Source organism: Homo sapiens, chromosome 15 (genome assembly GCF_000001405.40).
Source record: "Homo sapiens chromosome 15, GRCh38.p14 Primary Assembly".
Taxonomy (NCBI): Eukaryota; Metazoa; Chordata; class Mammalia; order Primates; family Hominidae; genus Homo; species Homo sapiens.
The window spans coordinates 71,032,142-71,053,999 of record NC_000015.10 but is presented as its reverse complement, the minus strand read 5'-3'; the positions used below and the strand labels follow the sequence as shown (position 1 = coordinate 71,053,999).

Sequence of the window (21,858 nt, the reverse complement as noted above, 5' to 3'; positions counted from 1 at the left end):
AAGGCAAGTACAGGCTGGGCGCGGTGGCTCATGCCTGTAATCCCAGCACTTTGGGAGGCCGAGGCAGGCGAATCATGAGGTCAGGAAATTGAGACCATCCTGGCTAACACGGTGAAACCCTGTCTCTACTAAAAATAGAAAATAATTAGCAGGGTGTGGTGGTGGGCCCCTGTAGTCCCAGCTATTCGGGAGGCTGAGGCAGGTGAATTGCTTGAACCCAGGAAGCAGAGGTTGCAGTGAGCTGAGATTGTGCCACTGCACTCCAGCCTGGGTGACAGAGTGAGACTCCGTCTCAAAAAAACAAACAAACAAACAAAAAAACCGCAAGTACACTATGATAATCTTATTTAGCAAGTGATAGGTTTATTCTCTTAAATATAAAGATAGCATAAACAAGTACTGCTATACGCCAATGACTCCAAATTCTATAATTCTAGCCCAATCTATACTTCTCAACTCCCAACTCATATTCACACCTACTTAACACCTGCACTTGGATATTTAACAACCATCTCAACATATGCTGAGATGTGTGGTATATCTTGTATATATTGTACATGTTGAGATGCATTGTGTATTCCATAAGACGGAATTCCTGATCCTTCCTCCCAGCAGATGTTCCATTCACAGATTGCTCTCATCTCAGTTGATGGCAACTCAATCTTTTCGGTAGTTCAAGCCAAAAACCTTGTGGCCATCATTGACTACTGTTTCTCATACTCCATATCCAGTTCTGTCAGTAAATCTTGTTGCTTCATCTTTAAAATATACCCAAGATCCAACTACTTTCTGACGCCTCTGCCGCTATCACCTTGATCCAAGTCACAATTATCTCTTGCCTAGAATAATGCAGTACCTTCCCAACTGGTCCCCCTAATTTAATTATTGCCCCCTCCTGAAGTTGATTCTCTACACATTATTGCAATGAATCCAGCTGCCAATATTTTACACTTTAATATGTATATCCTTAAATAATACACAATATTGTACATGTGTACTTATACATTTGTTAGTATTTATACCGCACATAATGTCTACGATATGCTTCACATGTAGACACAGTTGAGAAATTCTCATCTTTTATTTGCTATTCCTCAGCATAATGACAAAACATGAAAGTGGATTAGGAACGACCATGGACATCAAAATTCTTCCCAGATGCCAGATCCTTAAGACTAACAGTGAATGTGGGTACTGTCTACTATTTATTGGTTGAAATACCCTTAGTTACGTTTTTTTTCATCCTCTCTATGCCTCAGTTTTCTAGTGTTCAAATGGGATTGCTATCATATATATATCGCAGTGTTAGGAGATTAAATGAGAATGTATACAAAGAGCTTATAATAGTGCAAGACATTGCTCAATGAATCTTTGTTGTTATGATGATTACTCATTGAAGAGAATATGAATCCCAGTGCATTCCTTGCCCAATCAGGAATAGATCAGGAGCATGGTAGGGTTGCACTGTCTTACATGCCAGGCCTTCAGTGGAATGAAGCTCAGGAAGTGAGGAGCTGATACCAGCACCATCCTCTGACTCAGCAGCACAGTTAACAAGCCTCAGGTCCACCTGCACACTTGGTAACCATCCTCAGGTGTAGCAGCACACTTCACCATCCAGCTGCTGTACCAGAACATCGGGTACAGTATCTCCCTAAATGGGGGTACTAAATGTTTCTGCTTTTGAGGCAAATGCAATAGTGTTTCTGCGTGAGATCCCTTTTGAAAAAAAGCAATTCTTCAGCACACACTAGCCTAGAGAGTCTCAGACTATGGGATTTGCATCTCTTCCCCTTCCCTGAAAACCCTGGAAAATTCCAAGAAGAAATGGCAATTTGTTCCCTAGATCACCACTCACTTACAACATAGGACCCTCACTTGATCCCTAACCCAGCAGACCCAGGTCTCCTTGTCTTTTTATCTGGGGATTATCTTCACCAAGGAACTTCAGAACGCAAAATGAGTTTGGAGTGTAGAACTAGATGGGAGGATCGCCATTCGACGTTTGAGACCCGACAAAGTAAGGATTCAAGAAGTAGAAATCAGTATGGGGTAGTGGGAGCAGGTAGGAGCGAAAGGGAACTCAGGTAGGAAGGAAGCAGAGACCAAAGCTGAGGAATAAAGAGGCTTGGTTTCAGGAACAAGAGAGAGACCCTATTACCAGGCCTGAAGCAGGTCTGCATAGAGCCAGCAGTGGCTGGGATGGCTTGCTGCCATTTCATTGAGTGCTGACTTAGTGTTCCTAAGATTCCCAGGGTGACTGGGCCAAGAAAGCATGTGAGTGTCAAGTCTCTTTAGCAGCAGGGATGGGAGGGTTAGGGGAGAACAGACATGCAGGAAGCTGGACAGATTACTAAACAGCTAGGTCCATTCATCTGCAAAGCCTAGAGTGGGAACAGTTACCCAGACTCCCAAAGAGTCACAAGTTCTTACATCTTTCCAATCTGCCAGAATCCCACAGACAATATACTCTTGGTTCTCCTCTCAACATCACCTTCAAGCTGGGATCTCATTTCTATACCAAACAAGATATAAGCCCAGGAGAGATAAGTGTTTACTAGCCAGATGAGAAATGGTCCATATGTTTCAGTTTGGAGAGGCTAAAGGATCAGAAAGCAATGCTAATAGCTCCTCTGTCCTAGGGCACCAACCCTATTGTTCAACCTACAGCCAAAAGAGTAATAATTAAAGCTCAACGTATTGGGTGTTTGCTGTGTGCCAGGCATGATGAGAAATGCTTTACATGCATTGTTTCTTTTGATTCTCATGACTATCTTACGAAGTGTGTGCTATCAGGAGGAAACTGAGGTTACACACTAGTAAGCTGATGGCCTAAGTGCCAAGATGAAAAAACCAGGACAGGACAGGCATGGTGGCTCACACCTGTAATCCCAGCACTTTGGGAGGCCGAGGCAGGCGGATCATGAGGTCAGGAGATCGAGACCATCCTGGCTAACATGGTGAAACCCCGTCTCTACTAAAAATACAAAAACTTAGCTGGGCATGGTGGCGGGCACCTGTAGACCCAGCTACTTGGGAGGCTGAGGCAGGAGAATGGCGTGAACCTGGGAAGCGGAGCTTGCAGTGAGCCGAGATCGCGCCACTGCACTCCAGCCTGGGTGACAGAGCAAGACTCTGTCTCAAAAAAAAAAAAAGAAAAAGAAAAAACCAGGACAGCCTTTTAAGGCTATGATCAGAAAAATGGTAACCTGTTAAAGTTAAGCACGCCTTTTGGGAGAAGAGTAATCAAGAGATCTTAAGGATGTGGGTCTTTCTCAGAACCGCAATAGCAGCTTACCTAGCTTCCTTCCAGGTGTCTCTGCATGTCTCTGCATGTCTTTGCTGTCGTACATCTTCTAGTCCTGTTTTCCCATATCCTGGTGGTCCTGCTGACATAATAGCTGCTAGGTAAAATCTAAGCAAACCGAAAAATTCCTATTTATTGACTAAGATTGTTTTTCTGAAGTGGCATCATCTCTAGCTATGGTAATAGGCTCCTACTACCCTTCTCACCAGCATGAATTTGATCTTCAAATGAAATTTTAAAAATTAGAACCCTTCACTCATGCATCCCTAATACTTCTGAGACACAGGTACACATGCATGTCTATTAAAAGAGCATTTGAGAGCTAACAATGGAAGGAAACATCTTTCAGAGAAGCAGATTTACTGCTTTGTAACAGCATTTTATAGTCATTCAGGATCTCCTAAGACAAAACATTTTCTTCCTATCCCAGTTTTGACTCATTTGCATATTCTCTGCCCATAGTGATTCCCAGGACCTCCTGTGGTTCCCTGAGAATGCATTCCTAGAAGAATGGGGCATCCTCCATATAGGTGAATAGCAGGAACCGTACCTAACTAAAGAGGAACATACAATAAATATGACAATTCTGACTGAATTAAGGAGGCAAACATACTTTATTTTGACTAATTTGTTAGTAAGTTTATTCTTCACTCATAAAAAGAACATATTTTTGGCTTTGAAATCATGACATAAAATAAAAAGGGAAATAACTGAAAATTATCAGCTAAAAGTAGGTAGATGCAGCTCATGCTGAATCATCAGCAAATACTACGTGCTTTGGGCTATAGCAGGGCACCAATCAAAGCAAGAACCAAGGATGCAGTGCCACGCCATCTCTGAAAACTGTTTAGTTCCCAAAGGTTGTTTGGTCCTCACATACAGGCAATTAATCCTTCCTTTCTCCTGCTTTCCTTCCTTCCTTCTTAACTTTTAGCTATGAGAACAGTGGGCAATAATGCTTTTATACTAGTCTTTCTAGTTTATAGGATAGTGTTGTTGTTGTTTTAACATGTATAACCTGCATATTTTCAACCTTCAAAAAATAAAACTGCCAAAATCAACTGTAACTAAAGGCCATTTTTATTTTTGGTCTGTTATCTGCTGTAGGCAGAGCTTCATATAGGAATTTTTATTGCGAATTTCTATGACTGCATCCCTAACAAGCTCAATGAACATCTGTGGCCAAAGCTTCTGCAAAGCCTCATTTTTCATGTTGATTTCTGTGGCTTCCTTCACAAGGTCTTCTATATATGTTTTACAGAATTTCTTCTTTTCCTTTATTTCCTGTTAAAAAAAAGAGAAAGTTTTGTATTAAATCATAACTAATCCAAAAGTCAAAGCAACAATTAGCTGAACCACAGAAAATTGAAATAATTTATTCTGACCCCCTATTCCTCCCCCATCTACTCCTCAGAGCAGGAATTCTTTCCTAGTCACTGCTGACAGAGTTCTGCTTGAGTAAAGATAACAACAAGGGTCTCAGTACTTCTCAGTCTACTCCTACCTCTGTTGGACAGCTCTGCTAGAAAATGTGTTTCTTTACTGGAATTGTTGAATCATAACTACTATTTCTCCTATCTCAGTTCAGGTCATTTAGCTCACACAAGTCAGCTGAATGCAGACTCACAGATTCCTGTGGTAAATGTATCAGGATACAGATAGTGACAATTTCAATTGGTATGATATTAGTTAATATCTATGTAATACTTTAAGTATGTATACTCTGAATTTACCCTCTATTATGGGAAAGCATAAAATGGTACACTACACTGACTTACGCAGCCTTGACCATTTGGAGAAAGTTGGGGGGAAGTGTACAATTAGGAAGAGTAAACATATAGAAACCTGGGACCCAGGACGTTGCCTTCTAAAGAAACAGGTCTCCCACTCAACTTCTGGGTCTGGCAGTGTGAAAATGAAAAACCTGGTCCTAAACACAACAGAGGAATTTTGGAGCTGAGGATATTTGAATATTGTGCCCCAATTTCATCACAGAGACTAAAACAAAGTGATTTTGTTTAATCAAGAATTTAACATTTATTTTGGCTATTGATACTTCTGAATAGTATCAAGGCATAATCATGGAATGTATAATATACATGGAAGAATCAATGTAACACATCAGATAATCAGAATTACAAGGGAAGTAATGCACATCAATGAAGAAGGAAAGTAATAAATGTCAATGAGACAATACATTTAACTACTAGAAAAAGGATCCATTTAAATCTCCAACTCAAGTCAAAACACCAAAATAATTTCAAGATAAATTAAATGAGCTAAATTTAAAATATCATAAGCCAGGCATGGTAGCTCACATCTGTAATCCCAGCACTTTGGGAGGCCAAGGCAGGAGGATCGCTTAAGGCCAAGAACTCAAGACCAGCCTGGGCAACATAGCGAGACCCCATCTCTACAGAAAAACAAGAATAAAAAATTTAGCCAGGTGTAATAGCACATGCCTGTAGTTCCAGGTACTTGGGAGGCTGAGGTGGGAGAATCGTTTGAGCCCAGGAGTTCAAGGCTACAGTTTAAGCTATGATCATGCCATTGCACTCCAGCCTGAGTAACAGAGTGAGACCTTGTTTCTAAAAAAAAAAAAAAAAAAAAAAAATTTGGCCCGGTGCAGTGGCTCACACCTGTAATCCCAGCACTTTGGGAGGCCAAGGTGGGTGGATCACTTGCGGTCAGGAGTTCGAGACTAGCCTGGCCAGCATGGTGAAACCCCATCTCTACTAAAAATATAAAAATTAGCCAGGGTTGTGGCACATGCCTGTAGTCCCAGCTACACGGGAGGCTGAGGCAGGAGAATTGCTTGAACCCAGGAGGTGGAGGTTGCAGTGAGCTGAGGTCGTGCCACTGCACTCCAGCCTGGGCGACAGAGCAAGACTCTGTCTCAAAAAACAAAACAAAACAAACAAACAAACAAATGAAATCCTAAAAATCACAGATAGTGTCATTAAAATTATACCTACGAAGATTTCTAGGAAGTCCTAGCCAGAACGGTCAGGCAAGAGAAAGAAATTAAAAAGCATCTAAATAGGAAAAGAAGTCAAACTATCTCTCTTTGCTGACAATATGATTTCTATACCTAGAAAATCCTAAAGACTCTGCCAAAAGGCTCTCAAATTGAAACAATTTTAGTAAAACTTCAGGATATAAAATCAATGTACACAATTCAGTAGCGTTTCTATACACCAACAACATCCAGGCTGACAGTGAAATCAAGAACACAATCCCACTTACAATAGCCACAAAGAAAATGAAATACGTAGGAATACAGCTAAGAAGGTGAAAGACCTCTACAAGGAGAACTACAAAATACTGCTGAAAGAAATCAGAGATGACACAAATAAATGGAAAAACATTCCCTGCTGATGGATTGGAAGAATCAATATCATAAAAATGGCCATATTGCCCAAAGTAATTTACAGTTCAATGCTATTCATATCAAATTCCCAATGTCACTCTTCACAGAATTAGAAAAAAAATTCTAAAATTCATATGGAACCAAAAAAGAGCCCGAATAGCCAAAGCAATCCTAAGCAAAAAGAACAAAGCCAGAGGCATTATGCTATCTGACTTCAAACTATACTATAAAGCCACAGTAACCAAAACAGTTTGGTACTGGTAAAAAACAGATACATCGACCAATGGAACAGAATAGAAAACTCAGAAATAAAGCTGCACACCGAAAACCATCTGATCTTCAACAGGGCTGACAAAAACAAGCAATGGGGAAAGGACTCCCTATTCTATAAACGGTGCTGAGATAACTGGCTAGCCATATGCAGAAGATTGAAGCTGGACCTTTCTTATCTTTCACCATATACAAACATTAACTCAAAAGGGATTAATAATTTAAAGGTAAGACCTCAAACTATAAAAATTCTGGAAGACTCTTCTTGATATTGGCCTTGGCAAAGAATTTTTGGCTAAGTCCCCAAAAGCAATTGCAACAAAAACAAAAATAGACAAATGGGACTTAATTAAACTAAAGAGCTTTTGCACAGCAAAAGAAACTATCAACAGAGCAAACAGACAACCTACAGAATTGGAGAAGATATTTGCAAACTATGTATCTGACAAAGGCTTAATATCCAGAATTTATAGGGAACTTAAATCACCAAGCAAAAACCAAATAACCCCAGTAAAAAATGGGCAAAGGACATGAACAGATACTTCTCAAAGGAAGACATACAAGTGGCCAACAAGGATATGAAATAGTGCTCAGCATCACTAATCATCAGAGAAATGCAAATCAAAACCACAGTGAGATACCATCTCACACCAGTTAGAATGGCTATTACTAAAAAGTGAAAAAACAACAGATGCTGGCGAGGCTGTGGAGAAAAAGGAACTCTCATACACTGCTGGTGGGAATATAATTAAATTAGTCCAGCCACTGTGGAAAGCAGTCTGGCAATTTCTTAAATAACTTAAAACAGAGCTACCATTTGGCCCAACAATCCCATTCCTGGGTATATACTCCAAAGAAAATAAATCATTCTACCAAAAAGACACATGCGCTCATATGTTCATTGCTACACTATTCACAGTAGCAAAGACATAGAACCAACCCAGGTGCCCATCAATGGTAGATTGGATAAAGAAAATATAGTATATATACACCATGGAATAGTAACTACATAGCCATAACAAAGAGTGAAATCCTGTCCTTTGCAGCAACATAGATGGAACTGGAGGCCATAATCTTAAGCAAATTAATGCAGAAACAGAAAACCAAATGCTGCATATTCTCACTTATAAGTGGGAGCTAAGCACTGTGCACACATGGAAGATGGGAACAACATAAATATGGGAACAACATAGAGGGTGGTAGGGGTGTGGGCTAAACAACTACCTGTCTGGTACTGTGCTCATTACTAGAGTGACAGGATCCATACTCCAAACCCCAGCATCACATAATACTCTCATGTAACAAATCTGCACTGTACCCCATATCTAAAAGGTGAAATATTTAAAAATAAAATAAAATAAAGATTCATAATAAGAAAAAATGCTTAAATCATAATGTTATGTGAAAAAAATAAAATTTTTTTTGATAGGGTTTGGGTTATATGAATGTATGAATTGTCAAAACTCAGCAATTGTACACCTAAGATTTACATTTCAGTATATAAGTTTTACCTCTAAATGGAAAAATTTACAAAGAAAAATACTCTGTAGAATACTGAATCTCAATTAATGAAATGCACGCTGAATTATTTAGGCAGAAGCATACTAATGTCTGCAATGACTGTGAGATGAATTTAAAAAATACGAAGGTAGACTGATGGATGGATAGACACATAGATATGTGATAAAGTAAGTACACTGTATGGTACGATGCTAATAGTTGAGTGTAGGTTTTGGACGTATGGATGTTTATTGTAAAATTCTTTCAACTTTGCTGTATGTTTGAAATTTTTATTAAAAAGTTAGAAAAGAATGCATAAAAACTATTGAAGAAAATATATTGAAGTCTCATTAAGATTGTTTCTGAATTCTTGGCTCACGCCTACAATCCCAGCACTCTGGGAGGCTGAGGTGGGCAGATCATGAGGTCTGGAGATCGAGACCATCCTGGTTAACATGGTGAAGCCCCGTCTCTACTAAAAAAACACAAAAAAAATTAGCCAGGTGTGGTGGTGGGCGCCTGTAGTCCCAGCTACTCGAGAGGCTGAGGCAGGAAATGGCATGAACCTGGGAGGCGGAGCTTGCAGTGAGCCAAGATCACACCACTGCACTCCAGCCTGGGTGACAGAGGGAGACTCCGTCTCAAAAAAAAAAAAAAAAAAAAAAAGATTGTTTCTGAGTTCTGAGAACATTAGTATGTTTTCCTCCTTTTTAATATTTTCTTCTGTTTCCCAATGCTTATGATTTTTTAAATTAATTTATTTTTTGGAGACAGGGTCTCACTCTGCTGCCCAGGCTAGAGTGCAGTGGCATGATCTCCGCTCACTGCAACCTCTGCCTCCCAGGCTCAAACGACCCTCCCACCTTACCTTCTCCAGCAGTTGTGACCACAGGCGTGCACCACCACACCCAGCTAATTTTATTTTTTGTAAAGATGTGGCTTTGCCATGTTGCCTAGGCTGGTCTCAAACTCTTGAACTCAAGCAATCCACCCACCTCAGCCTCCCAAAGAGCTGGGATTACAGGCATGAGCCACCACACCTGGCCCAAATGCTTATGATGTTTAAAATAAAATATGTTTTAAATTCCTGATTAATTAATGTAAGTTAACAATAAGTCCAACCTGCACTAACTTTCCTTAACAGAGGCATATTTTAAGAATTTTCTTATGACATATAAGGCATCTCTAAGCAATCAATCACCATTCACAGGTCAAAATGCTGATTTGATATAGTCATGTACTAAAACAATAGGTCATAGATTGACCAGTCTTAAAAGTATGTACAGATTTTTGATGTGTGATAAGCAACAAATGGTTCCAGCTGGCCTCTTCTCTGAAGATCTTCCCTCACTCTGAAATACTATAGTCTGAACATTAGCCACCTATACTAAGTTAGCTTGTTGATGAGAACAGAATGTAGCTGCTCCCTTTTCGCACTCAGTAAATCTGGACTACATAGGAACTCCTACAAAGAAGGACAAGTGTGAGTCACTAGAGATCAGCAACTAAAATGAGCAATATTTTACAAGCAATGCATTTACAAGTAGAAAGCATAGAGCATATTTAGTGAATGCTTCTTTTACAGATTTCCAAATTGCTTAAAATAGGATTTTGAATTTAAAAAGACAAAATTCTATTATTAAGATTGGAAGATTTTTTATAATAATTTAGGGATAACAAAAATTAAAACAATTAAATGATATATTTTGTTAAATCATTTATGTATTATACAATTGAAAATAAATTCTTCATAACTGGCACAGTATAATTTACAGTGCTTTAAAATTTTCTGCTATAGTTACTTCCACTGTTTCTCTAGGGACATGTTGATATAGAATTGTATCTGCTATAATAATCCTTAATTTAGTAACTGTGTTTGAAAGCATTTCTACTTCATGATTTCTCCTCTCCTCCAAGCCAACTATTCTGCATCTCCTTACAATATGCCCTATAAGTCATCAGGTGTCTGCCAGGATGACTCACTCTGCCTGTCCAGGATGATCCCATTGAAAGCACGTTAGAGACACCTCTCTTGCCCTGACCTGTCAAGGAGTTGTTGCTCCTTGAGTAATGCTTTTTCCATTCCCAAATGCTTTCATATACTCATCTCTTTTTGTCTCACAATATCCCTGTGGGATTCATAAAGCAAGTATTTTACAAGTTCAATTCTGATGAGATAAACTATATACAATATTGTTTACATTATTTCATTAAACTAGAATTTTGTTGTTATGAAGATGGTTTGGGAAAAAGAAGGTCAACAGTGGGGTTTGTTATAGAGCAATTTTAACTATAATGGTACTTGTATTAGGATTTAATCCATATCTCCATTTTATAAGTGGGAAACAAGGTCTATAGAGATTGAGAGATCTGCTCAGGATTAAGCATCTTCTATTAATACTTCCATAGAGAAAACTCTCTAATCTAGTCCTTGAAGAACTTACAGTCTAGTTGGGAGATGGCATGCACATATAAAAAGTCAACTAAAAACATAAAACAGTAGATACATGCTGAGTAAAACGTTCAGACAGCAAATTACAAACAGTGTTCAGAAAAGAGAGAGCCCTTTGCACTAGGGTGGTCAAGAAAACTTGAGAGAGCACCATGATATACTGTGAACGTGTCCAAGGTCAGAATTAGGACTCCATTCTAGAGGCGGCTCAGTCAATAATTCAACGTGACCCTCAGTAACTCATCTGAGTTTCCAGTTTTCCTCATCTAAGAATAGCATTAGATTCTTTAAAGTCCCTTTCAGCACTCTGATTCTATGTCCATCTTAAATCTTTTTTAGATGAGTCAGGAGAATAGATGGACAACTACCAAGCAACAGAGTTATGACATGTATAATGAAAGGGTCTGCTTAACCTGATTTGTGAAGAACTTACCTCAATTAATTTTCTCAACAACTCAGGATGTATGGAAGAGAGACTGAGCACTTTGTGCTGCAGTGATTTAAGTATTTTTCAAGATGTAAGGAGCATGGTATAAGTGAAGGAATGCTGGGCTGTGAGTCGAGAGAGTGATTAAGGGACTTCAGCAAGGTCTTTCAAGTACTCAGAAGTAGAATCAGGGGCTCAAATCCACATCTCCTGATTGTTAGATTAGTGTTTCTTTCCAAATATTTTGGGGCTTCAGATTCCTTCTTTCCTCTTTAAAATTTCTCAAAGCAGGAGTCAACATTCCCTGTCTTTACTTTCTTATAGCTTAATTATTGCTCATATCACTTTAATCAAGACTCTGCTTACATGACTGCACTGAAGCTATCTGTTTTTAAAAATCTGCATGCCTGTAGTTTCAGCTACTTGGAAGGACAAGGTAGGAGGATTTCTTGAGCCCAGGAGCTCAGGGACAGACTGGGCAACATAGAAAAAAACAAAAACAAAAAACACAATCACCTTGAATGACTGTCCAATTTACCAAAACATTTTCCTTTATAGTTTGTGCATCTATGGTGTTAAAAAATCATAGCCAACCCAATCAAGATCATAAAGATTTTCTCTTCTTATTAAAATAAAAACTTGAAACTTTTGCTTTTAATACTTGGGTTTTTATTTGGTCTGGAGTTAATTTTTTGTTGCATGGTGCAAAGAAGGGGTTCAATATGCTTTTCTGATTGAATATCCCATTTCCTCAGTATCATTTATCCCATTAGACTATCTCTTTACAACCACCCTGTTTTAATTGATAGGTATTTATAATATGCCTTAATATCTAATAGTGCTAGCCTTCTTCTCATTGTTCTTTTTTGGAGTTTTTGTAGCTAATTATGTTTATTTTTCCACATGTACTATAGTATCAACTTGTCAAAAAGCCTCAACAAAAAAGTTTTTGGTATTTTCATTGGGATTATATGAAATTTTTAAGTTAAAGAAAATTGACAAAGTTTGCTTGAAATTCTTCTTATCTAAAACATGGCATGTTTTTCCATTTGTATAAATCTTTTGTATGCTTCACTAATGTTTGAAAAGTTTATTTATAGATCCTGCATATTTATTATTAGGTTATTACAAGATACATTATCTTTCTGTGTTGCTACTGTGAGTTAGGTTTTTCCTTATATCTTCTTTCTGCTTGTTATCTGTAATATGGAAGCTGTTGACTTCTGCTATATTACTGAATTTTCTTATAGCTTTTTATGATTTCTAAATTAATATTCTTGGGATTTCCAGGTATTCAATAATATTATCTGCAAATATAAGTTTACTTCCTTCTTTTCAAATGACCATTGATTTCCTTCTCTTGTTTCATTGCATTATCTGTATTGAGAAAAATATAATAGTGATATTAGGCATCCTTGTCTTGTTACTTACTTCAGTGATGCACTGGTGTTCTAGTCCTGTCTAACAAATTACCTCAAACTTGGCAGCTTAAAACAACGTGCATCTATTAGCTCAGTTTCCATGTATCAGGAACCCAGGCACGGCTTAGCTGGGTGTTCTGCTCAGGACTTCATAAAGCTGAAATGAAGGTGTTGCCTAGGTTGTGTTTATTTCTGAAGCTCAGAGTCCTCTTCTAAGCCTAAGTGGTTGTTGGCAGAATTCAGTTCCTTGCAGCTGTGGGAATGAAGTCCCTGTTTTCTTGTTGGCTGTTGGTCTGGGGCTGTTCTCAGGTCCTAAAAGCTTCTTGCAGTTCCCTGCCATGTGGGCCTCTCAAAACATGGTGACTTATTTCTTTAAGACCAACAGAAAAATCTTTCAGGGAAAGCTTGAATCCTTTTTTTTTTTTTTTTTTTTGAGACGGAGTCTTGCTTTGTTGCCCAGGCTGGAGTACAGTGGCGCAATCTCGGCTCACTGCAAGCTCCACCTCCCAGGTTCACGCCATTCTCCTGCCTCAGCCTCCCAAGTAGCTGGGTCTACAGGCACCCACCACCACGCCCGGCTAATTTTTTTGCATTTTTAATAGAGACGGGGTTTCACCGTGTTAGCCAGGATGGTCTCGATCTCCTAACCTCATGATCCGCCTGCCTTGGCCTCCCAAAGTGCTGGGATTACAGGTGTGAGCCACCGCGCCCGGCCGCTTGAATCCTCTTTTAAAGGACTTGCCAGATTAAGTTAGACTTTCTCAGGATGATCTCTCTCTTCATTAACTCAAAGTCAACTGATGAGGGATATTAATCATGTCTGCAAAACCCCTTTACCCTTGCCATATTCCACTGGTTAAAGGCAAGACACAGGTTTTACCTACACCCATGGGAGGGGATTATATAAGGTATGGATACTGGGGTGTGGGGATCACAGAGGCCACCTTAGTTAGAATTCTGCCTACTACTAATGCTAATGTTTCCAGAGTTTCCCCATCAAGCATAACACTATGCAATTTCCATTTATCCTATTTATTGAGTTACAAAATTAAGAATAGGTATTGAATTGTGTGAAATTTATTTTCAATGTCTATAGAAATAATCATGATTTTTCACATTAGATCTATTAATTCACTAATATTGAATCTTCCCTGCCTTTCTAGGATAAACTACACTTGGCTATAATGTTTGTTATTCATTTAATGTTCTGCTGTATTCTGGCTGACAATATTTTTAAAAGGGGTTTGCACCAATATTTTTAAATGTATGGTTTGGCTTTTCTTTTCCTATGCAATACTGGCATTTTTGGAATCAATGTTATGCTGTCTGTATTGAAAACATGGAAGAGTTTTCCTTCTTTTTCAATACTCTCAAACAATTTTAAAATCATTAGAATTCTCTGTTTCTTAAAAAGTTGGTAGATTTTACTGTGAAATCCTTGGTTTGAATGCAGCTTTTCGATATTTTACTAAATTTCTTTAATGTAAATTGGCATGTTTAGATTTACTAAATACAGTTGGCCCTCCATATCCGTGGATTCTGCATCTGTGAATTCAACCAACTGCAGATTGAAAACATTTTTTTAAAACACATCTGTACAGACTTTTCTTGTCATTATTCCCTAAACAATACAGTATAACAACTATTTACATGGCATTTGCATTGTAGTATTATAAGTAATCTAGAAATGATTTAAAGTATATGGGAGGATGTGCATAGGCTACATGCAAATACTACGTTACTACATCATTTTTTATCAGGGACTTGAGCATCTGTGCATTTTGGTATCTGCAGGAGGTCCTGAAACCAATCGTCCATAGAAACCAAACACAACTATATACATATTAATTTTTTCACTCATAGAACCAGCTGTATTCAGGAAGAGGAGACATAATCCTGCCACCTTGGCTTTCATTTTCTTCTTTTGGCAACACTAGGAAACCCCTATTGGCCAAAGGATTATGTTCAATCTCTTTCACATTGTTCTCTTACTATCTTTCTGGTCTCATCTTTTAATACTGTCTACCTCAATCTCTGAACTTCCACAACAATGACCTGCTTATAGTTCCTGGCCCTCTCCTTACATGTTTTATACTTCTATGCCTTATTTGCACTGTGCTATTTGCCAGAACTGCCTCTTTCCCCTTTTTAATATAGCTATATTTTATCTTTTAAGACTCATATCGGCCATCATTTTTTCTAAAACCCTACTTTGATCTGGGTTAGTTATCTCTCTATGCTCTTGATAAACTGATTGATACTTATCCGTATATATGTCTATCTCCTCCATTAGAATGTGAGATCCATGAGGGCAAGGACAGTGTCTTTTTATAGCCCTAGTATATTACACAGTGTGTTGTGTATGACAGGTGTTCAATACATGATTTTTGAATGAATGAAAGTATGAATGTAGAGAGTGCTGAGATGAAAAAGGTAGTTGACTTCAAGTATTTGAAGCATTTTCATAAGGAACAGACTTGTTCTTTTTACTATGTAAGGTGGTACTAGGATCACTAAGTGAAGGTTATTAAGAGGCAGATTTAAGCTTAATATCAGTAAGAATTTCTTCACGTTTAGAGTTGTTCTGTGATAGACAACAATGTCATGAAACATTGACCTTTCACACTAGAAGAACTTAAAGTAGAACATCTTGTAGGATACTATTAAAAATAGTCTTGCATTGAGTTTTCAAGTAATTTTCAAGCTGTAATGCCTACAGCCCTATGGGTTCCAAAGAGACACTTCAGGATTGGGGGTGGGGAAGGAAAGGAAAGGAAAAGGAAAAGAAGACCCAATCAAATGAAACTCTGAATTTCCTACTTTTCCTCTATAACAACAGCAGCTCTGCTGTTTTGCTTTCTTCTGATACACTGGGTTTTCAGCTATAATACGGTGGTTTGAATAAAGAGGTCCAAAACTGTTAAAAACATTTGAAAACCACTTGACTAGCCATTTCACATCTACAGTATACACACTTCGCCCTGCCACACACACACTTCTAAATGTTATATCTATATATCTAGAGATACATATGTAGATATTGAAAGATATCTATTATATATCAATCGTATAACCTGTGTGAGGGGATCTATAGATATACTTATATCTGGATATAGATGTATCACCTCATACAGCACCTTGCACATGAGTCATAGATGCTCAGTAAATGTGTTTTCTCTTTCTTGTTCTTTTGCCCCTTTGTTCCCTCAAAATCTCTTGAAGGGTCACAACGTTGTATTGTTATGTAGATAAGTTGTTTCTTCAGCTTTCCTATGAGCTCCATCAAGGTAAATACTACATAGTTTTCTTCTTTGTAGTTCCTGCAGCACCACAACATTGTATTCCCCTATACAAAACACTCTGAACCTCTGACCACATAAAACATAAAGGTTTAGTTACCATTTTCCTGGCTAAGTAGCTATATTAGGAATAGAACAAGTTGAAATTATATGATTAAGTAATCATAAAAAAAATGGTGTAGAATGAAAGGTATGAATTAAAACATCAATGGTCCCAGTAAGGAGAACAAAAACGGAGGTCCTGCTGTGTTCTCTGATGGTCTGGCATGATGTGGCTAAGTACCTACAGCAAGCCTATAACCTATTTCTTACATAGATCGGGACCCTTGGTCCTGCTTTGGACTAGATTTTTGCTACAGATTTATGGTACAGATTTCTTTTGAGCATTTTTTTTTTCTGCTGAAATAACGATACTGAAACCCTGGGTTCTTCTGCATCTCAGGGCTCTATTTCTCCCTAATTGCCTGGGTACCTACTGTCCCTGGCTTTGTAATATAAGGTTGACAAATATTCCAGAACAAAAAAGTTATCTTAACTAAGGGTAAAATGTACAACCCCCAAATTCCAAGCCATGTGGGATATATCCTGGCATTAGATCGCAAAGATTAACAGTAGTTTTACCTCTAGCTTTTCATTATAAAAGTCTCTTGTAGTATAATTTAATGTAGCACGATTTGTGTTTTCTCCTACAAGTCTTTTGCTGTCATTATTTTCTTCGTTGATAATACCAGGTTTTTTTCCTTTGGATTCTAGTAGATACCGAAATTGCTTTTTCCTGTAGAAAGACAGTAAAGAGATTTAGAGAGTTACTTATCAGACTTACTAAAACATGTCTATTTTTTGTTGACTTTAGAGGAGAACATATACTTTTTTGAATATATATTTTAATGAGTTTGAGTTTATGATTTATTTGAGTTCAGTCTGGTACCCCAAACTTTCTACTAATTAAGCTATTCAGCCCCAATTATTTTTTCCATAACTACTAATCATCAATGAAAATACGTCTCAAACATTTCTAAAATGAAAAAACTCTCCTTTAATAAAAATCAACACAAAAATTAATCACAGAGCACAAAACAACCCAAAAAGATATAGTAGGTCAAACTTTCAAAGTCTTCATGTCCCATAAAACATGCTAATTACCACTTATAAATCACACAAATGGTTAATAATTCCATTATGCAGCTTGGCAATATTACTGATAGCTAGAAAATGGAATTGGATCTTGGCTTAAGTTTAGGCAAAACCAAAATAACCCAAAAACCAAAAACCTCCAATTGTGAGCATATCATGGCAAGATTCTAGTAGGGGTTAAATATTGAAACAAGAAGCCTCATTTGATTGTGAAGAGGAACATACATAGTGCTCATAGTATCACTTACAGAGCCATCAGCCATGATTCGTCCTCCATGAAGGTGGATTTTTGGTTTCCACCACTTAGGGTGTCTCAAAATGATACTACTACCTTACTGTGAACTGTGTACTGAAGATTGAGGGCAGAAGAGGAATATAACTTTTTTAAACATTTATTTTTCTCTGATCTAAAAGTATAACACAATAATTTTAGAGATTTTTAGGAAGTGCAAATTTGAAAAGTATAAAGAAATGGATAAAAACCACCCATAAGTTTTCATAAATTAATAATGTTCATATTTGAAAAGGTGACCTACAGAATGGGAGAACATTTTTGCTATCTATCCATCTGACAAAGGGCTTATCTAGAATCTACAAAGAACTTAAACAAATTTACAAGAAAAAAACAAACAACCCCATCAAAAAGTGGGCAAAGGATATAACAAACACTTCTTAAAAGAAGACATTTATGCAGCCAACAGACATATGAAAAAATGCTCATCATCACTGGTCATTAGAGAAATGCAAATCAAAACCACAATGAGATACCATCTCACACCAGTTAGGATGGCGATCATTAAAAAGTCAGGAAACAACAGATGCTGGAGAGGATGTGGAGGAATAGGAGTTCTTTTACACTGTTGGTGGGAGTGTAAATTAGTTCAACCATTGTGGAAGACAGTGTGATGATTCTTTGAAGGCCTGGAACCAGAAATACGATTTGACCCAGCAATTCCATTAGTGGGTATATACCCAAAAGAATATAAGTCATTCTATTATAACATATACATGTATGTTTATTGCAGGGCTATTCACAATAACAAAGACATGGAATCAACCCAAATGCCCATCAGTGATAGACTGGATAAAGAAAATGTGGAATATATATATACCATGGAATACTATGCAGCCATAAAAAGGATGAATTCATGTCCTTTGCAGGGACATGAATGAAGCTGGAAACCATCATTCTCAGCAAACTATCACAAGAACAGAAAACCAAACACCGCACATTATCACTCACAAGTGGGAGTTGAACAATGAGAACACATGGACATAGGGAGGGGAACATCACACACCAGGGCCTGTCAGGGGGTGGAGGGCTAGGGCAGGGATACCATTAGGAGAAATACCTAATGTAGGTGACAGGTTGATGGGTGGAGCAAACCACCATGGCACGTGTATACCTATGTAACAAAACTGCACATTCTGCACATGTACCCCAGAACTTAAAGTATAAAAAAAAATAAATCTTTAAAAAAAACAATAATAATGTTCACATTTGACATATTTCGTTGCAAACTTCTTCTATAAATTTTTGTAAAAAATTAAGATTATACTAAACATACAACTTTGTATACTGTTTTCACTTAATGCTATATAAGTATTTTCTGTATCATTAAAAATTATAATTTTAATACCTGAATAAAAATCAATTGTGATATATATCACAATTTACTTAATTGGTTCCTCTTATAGGATAGTTACATAGTATAATTTTCTCACCTTTGTAAAGAAAAAAATGAGTAACATATAGATCTTTTCTTCTATTTATTTTAAGTTCCAGGATACCTGTGCAGGATGTGCAGCTTTGTTACACAGTGAAACATTTATCATGGTGGTTTGCTGCACCTATCAACCCATCACTAGGTATTAAGTCCCACATGCATTAGCTATTTATCCTGATGCTCTCCCTCCTCCTGCCCTCTGGTAGGCCCCAGCGTGTATTGTTCCCCTCCCTGTGACCATATGTTCTCATTGTTCAGCTCCCACTTATAAGTGAGAACATGTGGTGTTTGGTTGTCTGTTCCTGTGTTAGTCCGCTGAGGCTAATGGCTTCCATCTCGATCATCCATGTCCTTGCAAGGGACATGACCTCATTTCTTTTTATGATTGCATAGTATTCCATGGCATATTCCATGGCATATCCATACCACAATTTCTTTATCCAGTCTATCACTGATGGGCATTTGGGTTGATTCCATGTCTTTGTTATTGTGAATAGTCCTGCAATAAACATACATGTACATGTTATAATAGAATGATTTATATTCCTTTGGGTATATACCCACTAATGGAATTGCTGGGTCAAATCGTATTTCTGGTTCCAGGTCTTTGAAGAGTCACCACACTGTCTTCCACAATGGTTGAACTAAATTACATTCCCACTAACAGTGTAAAAGCATTCCTATTTCTCCACATCCTCTCCAGCATCTGTTGTTTCTAGATTTTTTAATAATCGTCATTCTGAATGGCATGAGATAGTATTTCATTGAGGTTTGATTTGCATTTCTCTAATAATCAGTGATGTCGACCTTTTTTTCATATGTTTGTTGGCCACATAAATCTCTTCTTTTGAGAAGTGTCTGCTCATGTCCTTTGCCCACTTTTTGATGGGGTTTGTTTTTTTCTTGTAAATTTGTTTAAGTTCCTTGTAGATTCTGGATATTAGGCCTTTGTCAGATGGGTAGCTTGCAAAAATTTTCTCCCATTCTGTAGGTTGCCTTGTTTGCTCTGATGATAGTTTCTTTTGCTGTGCAGAAGCTCTTTAGTTTGTTTAGATCCCCTTTGTCAATTTTTGCTTTTGTGGCAATTACTTTTGATGTTTTCGTCATGAAATCTTTGCTTGTGCCTATGCCTGAATGGTATTGCCTAGATTTTCTTCTAGGCTTTTTATAGTTTTGGGTTTTACATTTAAGTCTTTAATCTATCTTGAGAATTTTTGTGTAAGGTGTAAGGAAGGGGTCCAGTTTCAATTTTCTGCATATGGCTAGCCAGTTTTCCCAGTACTATTTATTAAATAGGGAATCCCTTCCCCATTGCTGGTTTTTGTCAAGTTTGTTGAAGATCAGATGGTTGTAGATGTGTGGTCTTATTTCTGAGATTTCTATTCTGTTCCACTGGTGTATGTGTCTGTTTTGGTACCAGTACCATGCTGTTTTGGTTACTGTAGCCTTGTAGTATAGTTTGAAGTCAGGTAGCTTGATGCCTCCAGCTTTGTTCTTTTGCTTAGGATTGTCTTGGCTGTATGGGCTCTTTTTTGGTTCCATATAAATTTTAAAGTAGTTTTTTTCTAATTCTGTGAAGAATGTCAATGGTAGTTTAATGGAAGTAGCATTGAATCTGTAAATTGCTTTGGGCAGTATGGCCATTTTCATGATATTGATTCTTCTTATCCATGAGCATGGAATGTTTTTCTATTTGTTTGTGTCCTCTATGATTTCCTTCAGCAGTGATTTGTAGTTCTTCTTGAAAATAGAACAAGCAGTTCTCCTTGAAGAGGTCCTTCACTTCCCTTGTTAGCTGTATTCCCAGGCATTTTATTCTCTTTGTAGCAATTGTGAATGGGAGTCCATTCATGATTTGGGTCTCTGCTCGTCTAATATTGGTGTGTAGGAATGCTTGCAATTTTTGCACATTGATTTTGTATCCTGAGACTGCTGAAAAGTTGCTTATCAGCTTAAGCAGCTTTTGGGCTGAGACAATGGGGTTTTCTAGATATAGGACCATGTCATCTGCAAATAGAGACAGTTTGACTTCTTCTCTTCCTTTTTGAATACGCTTTATTTCTTTCTCTTGCCTGATTGCCCTGGCCAGAACTTCCAATACTATGTTGAATAGGAGTAGTGAGAGAGGGCATCCTTATCTTCTGCTGGTTTTCAAGGAGAATACTTCCAGCTTTTGACCATTCAGTATGATATTGACTATGGGTTTATCATAAATGACTCCTATTATTTTGAGGTACATTCCATCAATACCTGGTTTATTGAAAGTTTTTAACATGAAGGGATGTCAAATTTTATTAATGGCCTTTTCTGCGTCTATTGAGATAATCATGTGGTTTTGGTCTTTAGTTCTGTTTATGTGATGAATTACGTTTATTGATTTGCCTATGTTGAACCAACCTTGCATCCCAGGGATGAGGCCAAAGTGATGGTGTTGAATAAGCTTTTTGATGTGATGCTTGATTTGGTTTGCCAGTATTTGATTGAAGATTTTTGTATTAATGATCATCAGGGATATTGGCCTGAAGTTTTCTATTTTGTTGTACCTCTGCCAGGTTTTGGTATCAGGATGATAATGGCCTCATAAAATGAGATAGGGAGAAGTCCCTCCTTTTCAATTGTTTGGAATAGTTTTGGAAGAAATAGTACAGAATAGAAGGAACCAAGAGGGCAGAATAGGAACAGCTCCAGTCTGCAGCTCCCAGCGAGACCAACACAGAAGGCGGGTGATTTCTGCATTTCCAACTGAGGTACCCAGTTCATCTCATTGGGACTGGTTAGGCAATGGGTCCAACCCACAGAGGGTGAGCAGAAGCAGGGTGGGGCATCACTTCACCTGGGAAGTGCAAGGAGCCAGGGATCTCCCTCCCCAAGCCAAGGGAAGCCGTGAGGGACTGTGCTACCCCGCTGGGTTACTACACTTTTCCCATTAATTTGCAATCTGCTGATCAGGA

General features: G+C 37.9%; 1 protein-coding gene across 5 annotated transcripts in view; it reads right to left on the bottom strand.

Annotated features, from left to right (window-relative positions):
• Positions 1 to 341: 341 nt before the first annotated feature.
• LRRC49 (leucine rich repeat containing 49) overlaps positions 342 to 21,858 on the bottom strand; it is a 200,281-nt gene continuing 178,764 nt past the window's right edge. For all 5 annotated transcript variants that reach the window (NM_001284357.2, NM_001199017.3, NM_001363732.2 and 2 more), the window contains 2 exons: positions 16,668 to 16,821; positions 342 to 4,591 (listed from right to left, as the gene is read on the bottom strand). In NM_001284357.2, coding sequence (NP_001271286.1) covers positions 4,388 to 4,591; positions 16,668 to 16,821 — 358 coding nt within the window. In that variant the 3' untranslated portion in view covers positions 342 to 4,387. The remainder of the gene's footprint in view (positions 4,592 to 16,667; positions 16,822 to 21,858) is intronic.